This window comes from Homo sapiens, chromosome 7 (genome assembly GCF_000001405.40).
Source record: "Homo sapiens chromosome 7, GRCh38.p14 Primary Assembly".
NCBI classification, from domain to species: domain Eukaryota; kingdom Metazoa; phylum Chordata; class Mammalia; order Primates; family Hominidae; genus Homo; species Homo sapiens.
In genome coordinates this window covers 145582829-145598040 of record NC_000007.14, presented here as the reverse complement: position 1 = coordinate 145598040, position 15212 = coordinate 145582829, and the positions used below count along the sequence as shown (strand labels likewise).

The following is a 15212-nucleotide window of genomic DNA, read 5'->3' as shown; positions in this document are numbered from 1 at the left end:
GCTATCTTTAAAATCACTTTTGCTCTTCTCTGCTCAGTTAATTATATGGGAGCCAACATGAAAGAAGCTACTTGTATTTTCAATGTGATTTTAAAATATGGGACATCTGATTACTGTACACTTGTGAAATATAATCATGTGGATATATTTAAATACCTCTCTGTCTTCCACACGTCTGTGTTTTTATATTTATCTATCCATCCATCTATCTATCATCTAACTATTTATCTATATATCATCTTCTATCTGTTATGGAATCTCACTGTTGCAACCCAGTGAATTATTTTGAACCTGAATATTTAACTGATTTGAGTATGACTTTACCAATGCAATGCCAAAAACGGAGGAAGGGGGTTAAATACACCCTATTAGCTACCAAAGTTTAAGAAAAAAAACGGGAAAAATCGGATAAAAGAATGAAGACAGAGGGGGAGGAAGAGAAAAATGAAGAAATAAAGATGAAAAAAAGGAAAAAAGAATAAGGATGGGACCATGAGGAGCTAAAAACTAATACATACTTTAAAAAATACAGGTTAGATTTTATTACAGCCATTTTTGAGACTTTGGTTTAAATCCCAAAGTTGTAACTCTATGCTACATTCTATAAGGTTCCAAGGCAAGGTTTTTATCTTTTTCACCTAATGTAGTGGTTATAAATATGGAAAAATAAGTATTTTTAGCTAATTAATTATGTGCATCTAGTTGTTCTTGGAATAAATAGCAAAATGTCTCTAGCTAGGGCTTACATTTCTGTCAGAGTTGATGGCATTTTTAAAGGGACTTTACAACTCTCAGTAAGATCCTCTCTGTAGTAGAGCTGAAACTAATAACAAAATCCAGTTTAGCCTTTACAACTAACTGCCAGGTTAGGTTTTCTTTTCATTTTTTATTTTAAATTTTTTGTCCTAAAGATCATTAGCAGAGGCACTCTTTTGATCCTGGCTTTTCATCATAAGATTTTGTTTGTCATGTTACAAAAATAAAAAGTTTTTTTCCAGAGAAGTAGAGAATTTATTGAAGAGTCAAGTTGGGATAAGGACTGGGTATCTGTTTCCTTTTCAGATCAACTCTCCTCAAAGCCTTGTTTGGGGGCACTTTGGGTTCCGTTAACAATCAGAACAGCACTTTTATTCTCAGTGATATTAGGTAACCGTGACAGTAATTTTTGTTGCTGTGCAATCTTCAGTCTCACACTTATCTGCCAGGTCTGAAAAGTGTTTGGAGAAATGAGCAAATATGAGCTGCTAAAACCAGAAAAAAGGAATTGTCCACACTGTTTTTAAGCTTTCTTTTCTCACCACAGCCTGCTGTTTCTTTTCATTGCTCTCTGGCTGCTCCTGGGCTGAATTTTATTTCATTTTGAAAACCACATATTTGCAATAAATGGAAATGAAACATCACTCCTCAAGGATAGGCTAGTTTATCAAAAATTCTTTTCTTAGATTTCTACCTCCACAGAAGACTACAAAGTGATGTTGAAATTCTTACCATAAATCCTTCAATCATTACCACTTACAAACAGATAAATGTTGACGTGCAGCCTGAGGCAAAATTAAGAAAGGTGATGTTATGGGGCTTTTACATCACTCCATTTCACTCTCAGCAGATGTTGCTGGTGTGTAAGGCAGGACTGTAGCTGCTGCCACATAGGGGAGGCATCCTGGACCTCCAGGGAATATATTGCATATGCTTTTAATTTAGGTAATATCTCTTTCTTGATTTGATCAGATGCTTCAGAGTCTAATGGAATGGGAGTTGTCAGAGTACTACCAGGACTCTGTACCTCTTACTTTTATGTTTAGTGACCTAACTTTCTATGGAGTAGCCTGACGTTCCTGAGCTGAGTGACTCACTTCTTGTTCAATATCTCTGAAGATGACCAAATAGTCTGAAAATCAACCTTTGTTTTTGTTCCAGTAAATTTATTAATGGGGAAATAGGATAGATTGTAAGAAGTTTTCAGAGGGCATACTGGACCCCATTTTCTCTCTGTCAAGTCTCGCCAGCAACATTTAATACAGCTAGCATTTCAATAGCACAATATATGCTCAATATGTTTTAGGAAAAATGTAGCCAGTGTATTGTGTGACATAGGCTGTGGGCTGGGGAATTACAGATCAAGAGAAAAATAATGGTAAGAAAAGTTTTCATGAAAGAGGGAGGATTTGAACTGGACTTCTTACAATATTTAAGATGTTAATAGACTATTGATGCTATTGAACACAGGGAAAATAGTTTTGAATGGAAGATTATAATTTGAGATTTTGACCTGTTATTATTGCGGGGGATTGGTAAGATTTTTAAATACCCAGTAAAGTTATTGAAAATAAGGAATAATAATATGAGATCTCATAATTCTTTATTATACTAGTTCAATGGAACAAGTCAATAAACTGTAAAAAAAGCTGAAATATCAAGATACAATCAAATAAAATGTCACGGTATATTGAATACTGGATTTAGACAAAAATGAGTAAAATGGGTAATGAAAGAACTTGTAACCAATAAATATCCTTATCTGGGTACAATCACCTCCAGAAAACAGTGGATTTGGCTTTTTCCCTGCCTTTAGAATCTCATGCAATTTCTTCTTGCTGGCAAACTCTAACATTAAGGATAAGATATTCTGAGAAACATAGTTCTTATCTTCCCTCTGACATTGTCCCTGTAGTATCCCTAATAAGAACATTTCTCCTTAGTCAGGTAAGACTTCTAAACAATTTAGAGGCCACAGTTGTAGTTCATTAGGTATAGCAATAAAAGAAAAGCTTCTCTTTGCATTCCTTACATCCTGGACCCATGAAGTATAGCTATAGGAGAAATAGAAGCATCTTTGGTATATAACGTCTGGAACTTAACTTCTGCATGTAGTTTATAACCTGATACCTGAAAGGTGATCTAAGTGTCTTCTGAACCCCTTCCTCCATGCTATAAGGCAAGTAGTGCATTCCACTATTCAATTAGGCAGAGGCCGGGGTATATGGTAGGAACTATGAATTCCATTGGCAAAGACCTATTTGTTAAACTTCATTTGCTTTAAAATAATTCCCTTGTTCAGAAGAAATGCAGTGGAAAATTTTCTGACAGTGAATAATGCAATCTCCAAAATCATGAATGGTGTTTTGGCAGGATCATTGTTGGCAATGAAGACAAATCCATTTCCAGAATCATCCTTTATTCCAGGAAGAGTAAATTGTTTCCTCTTCTGTGATGGGTGGCCCAATACAATCAAATTGTCACCAGGTGCTGGCTTGTTCACTTGGGAAACATTATCATATTGGTGGCTCAGTGTCACTTTATGTTGTTGACATGTTGGGAACTCACCAATAGCTGTAGCACATAATCCACACTGTTGAGCTCAAGCCTGCTTCCATAGCTACTTCCACAGTCACTTGGTTCATCAGCCCTTTCAGCAATGATTAGCATGGCTGGGCAGGAAGGTCCGCTGACCTTCTGTATAATGGGCCATCATTTCCATGTGATTACCAAGAGCCTGATCTGCAGTAGGTGCCATTTGGTGGACATCTACAAAAGACAAAAATACCCTTTTGCTTTTGTGCCAATTTTGTGAGGTCTATGACATCCTCCCAGGCCTCTTGGTAAACAATTTTCCAATATTTTTCCTTCTAAGTCCTTCACCATCCAGCCAAATAATTAGTCTTTGCTCATAAATCAGCATGAATCTGACATTTATCCACCTCTTTTCCAAGCAAACTAAACAACCAGATGTACTCTTGTGAGTTCTTCCCACGGGAAGATTTTCTTTCACCATTGTTCTGCATCATGCCTGACCAAGAACATCATACTACAGTCATCTACTTTTAGGTGTTCCTAGCTATGATGGTGAACTTCATCTGTCACCTTTACTGGGCCATGGAATTCCCAGAGACCTGGGTATGCTACATTATTTCTGGATGTGTCTAGATGTGTCTGTGTTCCCGGAAGAGAGCAGCACTTGAACTTGTGAATGAGTAAATTGGATTGGGCTGGGTAAGCATCATCTAATGCACTGAGGATTTGAATAGAACAAAAAGGTGGAGGAAGGTTGAATTTTCTGTCTTTACCTGGCTGCTTGAGCTGAGACAAAGGTCTTCTTCTGCCATTGAACTGGAACTTACACCGTTGATGCTTCCATTCCTCAAGTCTTTAAACTGAAATTTGAATTTATATCCCCAGTTTTCCTGGTTCTCCAGCCTGCATAAGGCAGATGGTGGGACTTTTCAGCCTCCATATGTGTGTAAGCCAATTCTTTATAATAAATCTCACTCTAGATTTATATATCCTATCGGTTCTGTTTCTCTGGATAACTCTAATACACCAGCATAAGATGTAAAACCATTGATAAACCAGATATACATTTATTTTTCCTGAGACAACTTGTCATGGGAAATTTCAAAAGCCTTAAGTGTGGGTTTGTAGAGAGGAATTAATGCTTTAAATGTGGACATGTGTATAATTCCTTGAATATGACCATGCTTTTGGGGGCAACAAAAGCATGCACAGGCAAAAATAGACAAATAGGATTGCATCAAACTAAAAAGGTTCTGCACAGCAAATGACAATTAACTATTAGAAGAAATCATCTACAGATTGGGGGAAAATATTTCAAATCCTGTATCTGATAAGAGGCTAATATCCACACTGTATAATTAACTCAAACAACTCAATGGCATGAAAACAAACAATCCTACTAAAAGGCAAATCACCTAGAGAGATTTATCAAAAGAAGACATACAAATGGCTCTCAAGTATATGAAAAAATGCTCATCACCACTAATAATCAGGGAAATATTAAAACAACAATAAATTATCACCCCACTCCTGTTAGAACGGCTATCATCAAAAAGATAAAAGGTAACAAGTGTTAGCAAGGATGTGGAGAAAAAGGAACCTTGTATAAAGTTGGTGGGAATATAAATTAGTATATCAATTTTGGAAAACTTTGTAGTTTCCTCAAAAAACTAAAAATAGAATTACTATATGATCCAGATATATATTCTGAATATACATCTAAAGGAAAGGAAATCAGTATCTTGAAGAAATATCTGGCTCCCATGTTCATTGCAACATTGTTTACAATTGCCAAGATATGGAAACAACTTATGTCAATCAGTGGATGAATGGATAAAGAAAATGCGGCAGATATACACAATAGAAGGCCTTTATAAAGAAAGAAATTTGTCCCTTACAACAACATAGATGAATTTACAAGACATTATGTGAAGTGAAATAAGCCAGGCACAGAAATACAAACACTGCATGGTCTCACCTGTATATGCAATCTAAAACTGTCAAACTCATAAAAATAGAGAGCGGAATGATTGTTACCAAACACTGGTGGCAGAATGAATAGGGAAAAATATGATGTTACTCAAAGGGTACAAAGTTTCAGTTAAACAGAAGAATAAGTTATAATGATCTATAGTAGAACATAGTGACTATAGTTAATTTACTGTATATTTTGAAATTGTGAAAAGAGTAGATTGTACATGTTCTCGCCACAAATACATAAGTATGTGAGGTAAAGGATATATTAATTAGCTTGATTTAATCATTCCACAATGTATACATGTATCATAATATCACATTGTACCCCATAAATATATACAATTATTATTTGTTAATGAAAACTAAAATTAAATTTAAAAATAAAATAAAAGTAGATTTATTGGGGTCTGAGCCTCTTTCTCATGTAACTTAATTGTGTTTTCAGGACCTGTTCAAGCCCAATATTATATACTTCCTGTACTTCACAATGAATAGTATTGCAAACGCCAAAATGTATGGCTTCTGTGGTCAGATGACAGCCAGATCATGACAGGCAGCTCAGATGTGCATGGTATGTTGGCAACCCCAATCAAATTTTCTACTGCTAGTAGGACCTAGTATCAAGCCAGAAATTACTTTTCTGCTGTTGTTTGTATGTCAAACAAATAAAAGTTATCTTAAGAATATGGACTGGCTTACTTCCACATCATAAGAGGGTATGCTGGAGTTTTCCTAAAGGGGACCCTTTCCATATAACACCAACTGCCACAGACCCTTCAAGTACCACTAAATCTCTGGGTTCATATGGCCCAGTGGCAGTTCAACTTGCTCCAGAATTCTAGAGCCTTGTATTGTTCCGGGCCAGGTCAAAACAGTGAGCTTCCGAGTTTCTTGGTACATATGTTGCAGTAGCATACCTAAAACTGTTATATGTTGCCTCTAGACTTCAGAGAGTCCCAAAAGGCACCACGCTATTTTCTTGGTTGTAGATTTCAGATATAGCCTCTTTCCATTTACCTTGGAGCAGATATGTTTTCATGGCTCAGACTGAAGAAAACCTTGAAACTTAAACAAAAGGTCAGACATTGAATTTTTATGGGGCTCTATTTCTCATTTTCAGGCATACAAGTATCTTACCAAGGCTTCTGAGATATTCAATACATCCTGCTTACAGAGTCCAATAAGACTGCTACAATTAATAGAGGGAACTAGCATGATGTCTTCTGGAAGAATACAATTATACAGGTCCCTATACCTTACATTTTGAGAGAGAGCTAGAGGGTTGATATATCCTTCAGGAAAGTGAATGACACCTTTTTTCTTTTTCTGTCTAAGTGAAATCAAATGGGTCTGGTTTGGTCTGTATTAACAGGTGCAGAGTTAAAAGCATTCACTGGATGATTAGTTAACTACAAGGCACAAGGTGCTGTGTTTATATTCTCTAGGAAAAAAAAAAAGACCACATCAGGACAGCAGATGATTGGCATGTCCAGCTGAATAAGTTTATGATAATGTACTGATATTCCTAAAATCCATCCTAGCCTCCTTCTGCTTAGTCTAGGTTAGTTGTTATCTTTTAGTCTGTGATAACATTCTGCTTTAGGTACCTTCCTTGTAACTTACTCCACCTTACTCTTTATCTTGACAGACTATAAATTCCTTGATACAAGAGCATATGTCTTACCTATATTTTTCCATGTTACTGAAACATAGTAAGCACTTAAAATCTTTCATGAATTTCAATTCGACCAAAAACCTGTCACACCTGTTTTACTAATAAAAATGTTTGTTTTAAAATGTTTCCTTTGGTTCCTTGATAGAAAATGGTTAAATAAAATATTTTCTAATATATCTCCAATATATGTCAGAATCTTTATTATGGCATTTAATATTTCTATAATTTCATAGTATGGGTATATATGATATTCAAACAAAATAATGACTCCTCAATTATGCTTGTTTGGGTTTTCCAAATAACGGATTAAATATTGGAAATCATAAAGTTTTAAGATATAGTTCTATTAGACAGATTCCAAAAAGAAACACAATTGAGGAAGGATATTTTTAGATGTCTTTAGAAATGTCTTATGTTTCTGAGAATCAAGTGGTGCACTATTATTCCTGTAATTTTAAATCCATTTTGGATATTTGTAGCAATAATGACCTTTACAAAGGATCTAATTTATATCCTGGTAGTATTTTTTTGTTAGTAGGCTCTAGTCCACTAATTTTTATGACTTCAACAACATATACAATCTCTTAAATCACTAGCATAAAAAAACTGAATCTCAACATGTTCAAACTTTGATAGTCACCAAAAATATACACAGGATTTTTATGACATTTATATATATATATATATACCAATGATAGTTATTATGCTTCTTCTCTAAAAAATGTCTTACTTAGAAAATGATAGATATGGTCTTGGTTAATAGAAATTTGCCTTGCAAGCATTAATACAAAATCGACTTCTAATAGCAAGAAGATTGTAACTTAATAAGAATATTGACATATGCATGCTTTGTTAATTTATTTGAATTACATAGATATGAACATGAGAGATTTTAAGCATACATTCTTATATCATGTTCTTAAAATAGATTCTATTAAAATTATGATCTATTATCTATCTATAGTTTAATCTCTTTACTATACAAAATATAAGCTTTCTTGAAAGCATAATAAGTGAGATTTCGTTAAATTGACAACAGTAGTAGGCAGTTCTCAGTGAGCCTAAGGCAGAACCTTCCTTGTCAGGTGAAACGGTGCTGCTAAACATGGAGTGACCTTCATAGAAGTCATAAATATAGTAGCAGCTTTCTAAAGTATAGCATGTAATTTAATCCTTTATTAAGTATTGTTAACAACTTTCATACCCTGTATTTATTTAAAGCAACACTTACAATCTCAGGCAATATTATTATTAACCAATATGCCTTTAATATTAAAGTAAGAGATACTTGTATATACAAACTTCAAATTCTATGCATAACATTTCAAAAACCTTGCAACATTTTAAAAATATAATAGATTCATCAAGCTGTCCAAATTCATATAGTGACAAATAACTGAGATTATGACCCAAACTTTTTATTTTTTTATTGGTTATATTGTTTTATTGGTACACTCTACAACTGTTTTGAAATAGAATTTGAATACGAATTTGAAATTGATTTTTTTCTAGAAAATTAATGATATGATGGCATCATATGAATAACAGTTTGTGGTTTTCTAAAGTAAATGTCTCGCACATACTGATTTTACCTCATGGTTTTGGAAAGCCCATTTCTCACTGTGTGGTATACAGGTTACTGCATGATCTAATGGTCCAGCACAATTTTGAAATTTAGATTTTGACAAATCTTAGTTTAAAGCCTGGCTTTATTTAATAGTTGTGCGACTCTGGGTAGCATATTCAATTTCTATTGGCTTCATATTTTCATTATTGAATAAGGATGATTGTAACGCTACCCAGAATTGGATTCAGTGAGATTATACATGTAAAGCACTTAGCACAATATTTGGCACATAATAAATGCTAAAGAATTTGGCTGTTATTATAATTTTAGTATGCATTATTTTAGGAATATTCACATACTTATAAAAGTTCTAACAATTATTAACATCAAAGCAAATAATAAAATCCACGAGAATGTTTTATCTTTCAAGCATATTATGATAACTATATCTACCCTTCAAGTGTGTTATATTAAAATGTGATCAAATGAACAGCAGGAGAAATTGAAGGGAACACAGATGAATCACATGTAATCTGGGGATGGAAGAGGCCCAATGTAGGAAATTGGGTATTACATAAATGGGAAGCATGCACCCCTGGAACCCCATGACTGGGTGATGACTGAGAAACACACAGGCTAATCCTCTCATTAGCCCCAGTGGAGATGAACCACTCCTTCCCCATGAGAAGTCTGTCTGTGTCACATGACTTCTAGAATCCTCTAGTCAGTTGAACGTTTCAGCACCTGCATCAAATGAACAATTTGTGCCATGTAAGATTGGCTACTTCTCCTTGAATGGGATCCATGAGAGATTGTTTCATGTGCCAGCCTCTCTATAGAGGGAATGCCCATTGTGCTTGCAAATTTAAGTCATGACTCTGGCTGTTGTGTTCCTTTGTTACCATGTAATGTTTATTTAAAGGATATAGCTTCAATAAGACAATCCACATCTCTATCATTTAATTAAAGGCAGTTAACATTATCCTCAGTTTATAAAGTAGATATGTGAGGCTTAGAACGGTTAAGAATATTTTAGAAAAAATAAGGGATGGATCTAGATATAGAGGCTGGTACGAAAATGCCTTTCATGTCATCTATTTTAAATAGGATTGCTTTGAGAGACCCCAGCTAAACTGAGCTTTTAGTACGAAATGGCTAGCAATTCTGCTATGAATAATTGCTGGGTGTGGGTGTTTACAGAGTGTCTTTCACAGGATGCTTCCTTTACCTGGTGGATGGCCTAATGCCTAGCTGCCCAACCAGTGACCAGGCGGTCCTTCACATGAGAAACTTGCTTATACCAGAAGACCCCTTGTGGCTCATATCTGACCACAGCTCTGGTGCTGGAAGCCCAATCTTGTGTCACCCCTAGCACAGCAGGGAAAACAGAGGCTAGGGTAGCCCCTGGTTCCGCAGATGGAAAGCACAAATTCAAGACACCACCATGTCAGGAATCAGGTTCAAAGATTTATTATTTACAGGTCCTTGGCATGGAGAATGCAGTGAGTTGGGTGGGCAGTCCTCCAACCTTGGATCACATGAGGAAGGAAAGAGGAGTTAGGTAGAGAGAGGGAGAGGGAGGGGGACAGGGATAGGCAGAGAGAGAAAACTTGCAGTATGTATCAGAATAGTGAACGGGTCACTTTAAGTTTGTGGGCAAGTCTGAATGGTTCCTTCAGGGAGCCCAGTCGGCTAGGCAGGAAAGATGCCTCTTAGTTATCTCTAGCCTCTGGCCTGAGCCATTTGGGTGTGGTGCTCTATGTCTAATGCTTAGGCCGCAACCTTTGCTGTGTTGTTCCTGTTAGAAAGGTGAACAGGGACTACTTTAATCCTAGAATATTTTTAATAACATATGCATAAATTATGCAAATATATCTTATTTTTAACATTTTTTCAGATCGATTTTATTTAAGAAACAAGTCGACAGAAAGAAGTAAAAGCAGCTTATGAATATGTCAAAAAAAAAACAACCACCAAACCTAACTCAGCACATTTACATTATATAAGTCAATAAAAATTCAATTAAACATTTCACACTAAATAAAAAGTAGCGTGTTCTATTTCCCCTTCAATATATGGAAGATGACTTTTAAATTACATTGTTTTACATCCTCTAATCACAAGTACTACCATGTGACTATTCACTAGGTGCTTAGATAACTATGGTAATATTTTCAAGAGGCTTGATGTGAAATACTAGTGACCCACGGCTCAGATGTACAGAGTCAACCTGAAGCACATCGTCTGCAACTATCCTAATATAGTTTAAAAAATTGTGTCTAAGAGTGAAAAGAGAAAGACTGAAACTAATCTGTCAGATATATGAGATCACCATCAAACAATTCTTTCTTTCTCTTTCTTTCTTTCTCCTTCCTTCCTTCCTTCCTTTACTTCCTTCCTTCCTTCTCTCTCTCTCTCCCTCCCTCCCTCCCTCCCTCTCTCTCTCTCTCTCTCTCTCTTTCTTCTTTTATTTGAGACAGTCTCATCCTGTTGCCCAGGGTGGAGTGCAATGGCGTGATCTTAGCTCACTGCAATCTTCACCTCGCATGTACAAGCGATTCTCCTGCCTCAGCCTCCCAAGTAGCTGGGACTACAGGCACCCGCCACCATACCCAGCTAATTTTTTTTAGTAGAGACGGGGGTCTCGCCATGTTGGCCGGGCTGGTCTCGAACTCCTGACCTTGTGATCTTCCCGCCTTGGCCTCCCAAAGTGCTGGGATTACAGGTGTGAGCCAACGCACCTGGCCCAAACAATTAAGTTCCAAAAGAGCAAAGCATCCTAGAGTTCATCTAAGAATGCATGTACTTTAATACATGTATAACAGAAAATAAAGACAATAAAGAAATGCTCCCTTCTAAGGTAATAAAGTACTGAAAATGTAATTTTTGCAGCACTCTAACAAGTGAAAATTTTGAAAATCTGTTCACTGAGCAGGAGCACAAAGAAAAACTAAACATGTATCCCAATTTATTAAAATGACACATCCATAGGCTACATCTATCCTGAATCTCTTTATAAGGCCAGATTAAGTATTTTAAAGTTTCTCTTAATAGATGATTAAAAATACAAAAATATTTAACTTAAAGGAACATAGAATTTAGACTGTGAAACCATGTTGTAAATTTTATTATAATCGTCATTTTTTCTTAATGTTGAAGACTGCATCAGTTTCATAAACAACATCACTCATGTTTTATAATAAATACATCTGTATGCAGAGGTATGTTTAACAGCATCTGCCTCTATCTCCAGAAATTGTTGCTCATTTTAGAGCACATATTTTTATTCTGATAAAGATTTAATGTTTTACTTAATACTTCAGTAGAAAACATGAATAAATTGTATACCCAATATCAATATTTTTCTAAAAACCTGAACAACACTCTTTTAAATGTCCATTTAAAAATATAGATAACAGTTATTGTTTTATCATTATCAAATTGATATCAAAGTAATAGGCATAAGTGAAAAAACTAATCACTAGACAGTCATAAAATATAAAATGCAATAATATTGTGCACTTTGTATTACTAAGAAAGTGTTCACTTATATAAGCAGCAGATGATGAGAACATTATCATGAAAATTCTGGATATATCTTTATGTATATCCTTAAAAATCACTTACCTTTATATAATTTCTATTTTAATTTAAATCTCACATATTTTCAGCTAACATTTAAATTCGTTTTTTATTGTAAAACTTCAGCTGTTATAAATCATGAAACACTTTCAGAAACTTGTTTAAAGGTAGGAATAATTCCTTCTAGTAAAGAATTATGTCACATTACATATTTGTTAAATGTTATGTTTGAGAAATACATTCTGACCTTGAACATATTCAAATTAAAGATCAATATTATAATGGAATGAAGATTTTACAGGGAAAATAGTGCAATCAGTAAAAGCACGAAAGACCATGTAGTAGTGTGTACAGAGTTGTTTCCTTCCGGTGGGTTCTTGGTCTTGCTGACTTCAGGAATGAAGCCACGGACCTTTGTGGTGAGTGTTTACAGCTCTTAAAGGTGGCAGGGACCCAAAGAGTGAGCAGCAGCAAGATTTATTGTGAAGAGCGAAAGAACAAAGCTTCTACAGCGTGGAAGGGGACTCGAGCGGGTTGCCACTGCTGGCTGGGGTGGCCAGCTTTTATTCCCTTATTTGTCCCCGCCCACATCCTGCTGATTGGTCCATTTTACAGAGTGCGGATTGGTGCATTTACAATCCTTTAACTAGACACAGAGCACTGATTGCTGCATTTTTACAGAGTACTGATTGGTGCGTTTACAATCCTTTAGCTAGACACGGAGTGGTGATTGGTGCATTTACAATCCTTTAGCTAGACACAGAGTGCTGATTGGTGCGTTTTCACACAGTGCTGATTGGTGTGTTTACAATCCTTTAGCTAGACAGAAAAGTTCTCCCAGTCCCCACTTGACCCAGGAAGTCTAGCTGGCTTCACCTCTCAGTAGGAAGGAAGACACTTGTTTGGAATATTGCAGAATGGTAGATATCACATTTTATCAAAGGACAGTAATCCTTGATCTTCTATTTCCCACAGAACTCTGGATCCAGTTAAGAGCAGGAGGGGGAAAGAAGCAGCAATATTTCAAATGTCCATACTCTAACCTGCAAAAGACACTGAGTAGGTGGAGAAAACTGCATTTTACTTCAGGTAGTCTTTGAAATGAAAGCTCTGTTATTTTTCAAAATTGGAAGGATACCACAGGGTTGATTTTATATACAAAGTAGGATCTGATCCAGTAAGCTCTAGTGAAATAATTCACATATGGAGAAAGTTAATTTTGACTTCATGACAAAATCACCCATATTTTGAGTAGGTTAGCCTGTCACCTTCTTTGCAAACCACCAACAATATTGGGTATATGGTTCTTAATTGAAACCACTTGAAAAGTGTCATACAAAGTTAAGGAAAACATACACCAAATGCTGCTAACATGAACACATAAGGAATCCAGATGTACTTCAAGCCTTCTATAACCATCACAAGAGAATCCAATAAAATAGTGTGAGTTACATGATAAATTATTTCTGGCCTTTCTCCAATTCATCCGTCATGAAGAATAACAGTTTCTGTCAGGAATTTAGTATTAATCCTCCTAAAAATAACTTGCAGTATAGAAAGAAAACAAATAATTAACACTGGAATATAGAAATGTAATAAAGAAGATTGTCAATTGCAAAAAAAAAACAAAACAAAAAAAAAAAAAACGTCTTGAGAAGGTGCCTGCAGGGAATCTTGACAGAGGAGCTAAATAACTGTAAAATTCTTAGTCATATTTAGTCCAAATTTTACTTCAAGGAATTTGAGCATGCGCCCATTTTCTTTGTGCTGGACAAACATCTTCATTATAATATTCAATGTCACTGTCAGAGTACGCACCAAGTAAAAATTAATCACTTTCATTGTTTTAGCTACAAAAGTTTCTTTCTTCGCATTCAGCTGAAGGCACTTAGCAATCATTAAGGCTGCTAGTAAACTTAACAAAGGAAACACCAGTACAGCTGGATTCCCAAACTGCAGTAAATATCCCAGAAAGAGAGAAAATATGTAGATTTTGTAAACTTCATAAACCTTGTCACTTTGCTCCAGCGGCAAGATATCGAGCAGGAATAGAGAGACTGCTTGAAGAAACAGGAGATAGCGGCCGTACCCCACATCATCATAAATATGTAAGTTGAAGCACTTATCAACAAGTAGCAAAACTCCTCTCCATAAGTATTTCAGTTGCTTTTTAAATAGCCTGTAGGGGCAGCAACTTGGCATGCAAAATATGGTAGTGCCCAGTTTTCTCTTAAAGGAATGGGGTATTCTATTCTTGTTGTATCTACCCTGTTAAAAATGAGGCATGCAACAGTAAGCATTCCTGTTAGCCATGTTCCACTCATAAGCCAACTTGTAACAAATAATGCGGTAACATATTCTTTGGAATCCAAAAACAGCGCCAATATAGAAATACACTGGCTCAATAATCTCGTTGCTACCAGTGGCTTGACATAAAACACTGGCAATAAGTTCTGGATATACAGATATTTGCTGCACTGCATGTATAGTCTTTGGAGATACAGTTTTGTTATTGTGTGCCAGTTCATAAACACCTCTTTCAAATGAAGGTGCCTTTAACATATCTTTATGATAGGTCTAATAAATGGCACTGTCACCCTGAAACGTGATTCCCCGTTCAAGCTCGTTTTGGAGCTCTTTCAGGAATTGGAATGTCATTGATTGTTCTCTTCTTTAGCGGATTCCTTATTTTCTGAAGACTTTGGCCTTTTTTCTTTGGCGCAGCTCTGCAGTTGATCTTTCTTCCTCTGCCCTGGTCTCCGCGGAGGCCAGGACATACCTCCAGCTGCATCGAGGCAGGAGTCTCCCTCCCTCTGAATCTCCGAACCCCTCAGCCTCTCCGGGTCCGCTCCCGGCCGCCGCCGCAAACATACCTTTTAATCATTGTTTTCCTAGTAATAAAAATCTTACACAAAAGCTAAACGAAATTTTATGCAATTCCCTGGTTAATGTTTCTTGATGACATAAGTTGCTCCGTATATACTTACCTGAGTGCAGCTAACCTTGTTACACTGGAACTCGATCTTGACACACAGCCAAAATACATTCTCTTATGATCTTCTTGTGGAAAATGGTAGTTTCCTGCTTTGATGTTTTTTTTTTTTTTTACCAGACCGGGGT

At 35.9% G+C, this 15212-nt stretch overlaps 1 pseudogene; it reads right to left on the bottom strand.

Moving 5' to 3' along the window:
- On the bottom strand, positions 12980-14944 carry DPY19L4P2 (DPY19L4 pseudogene 2; annotated as a pseudogene).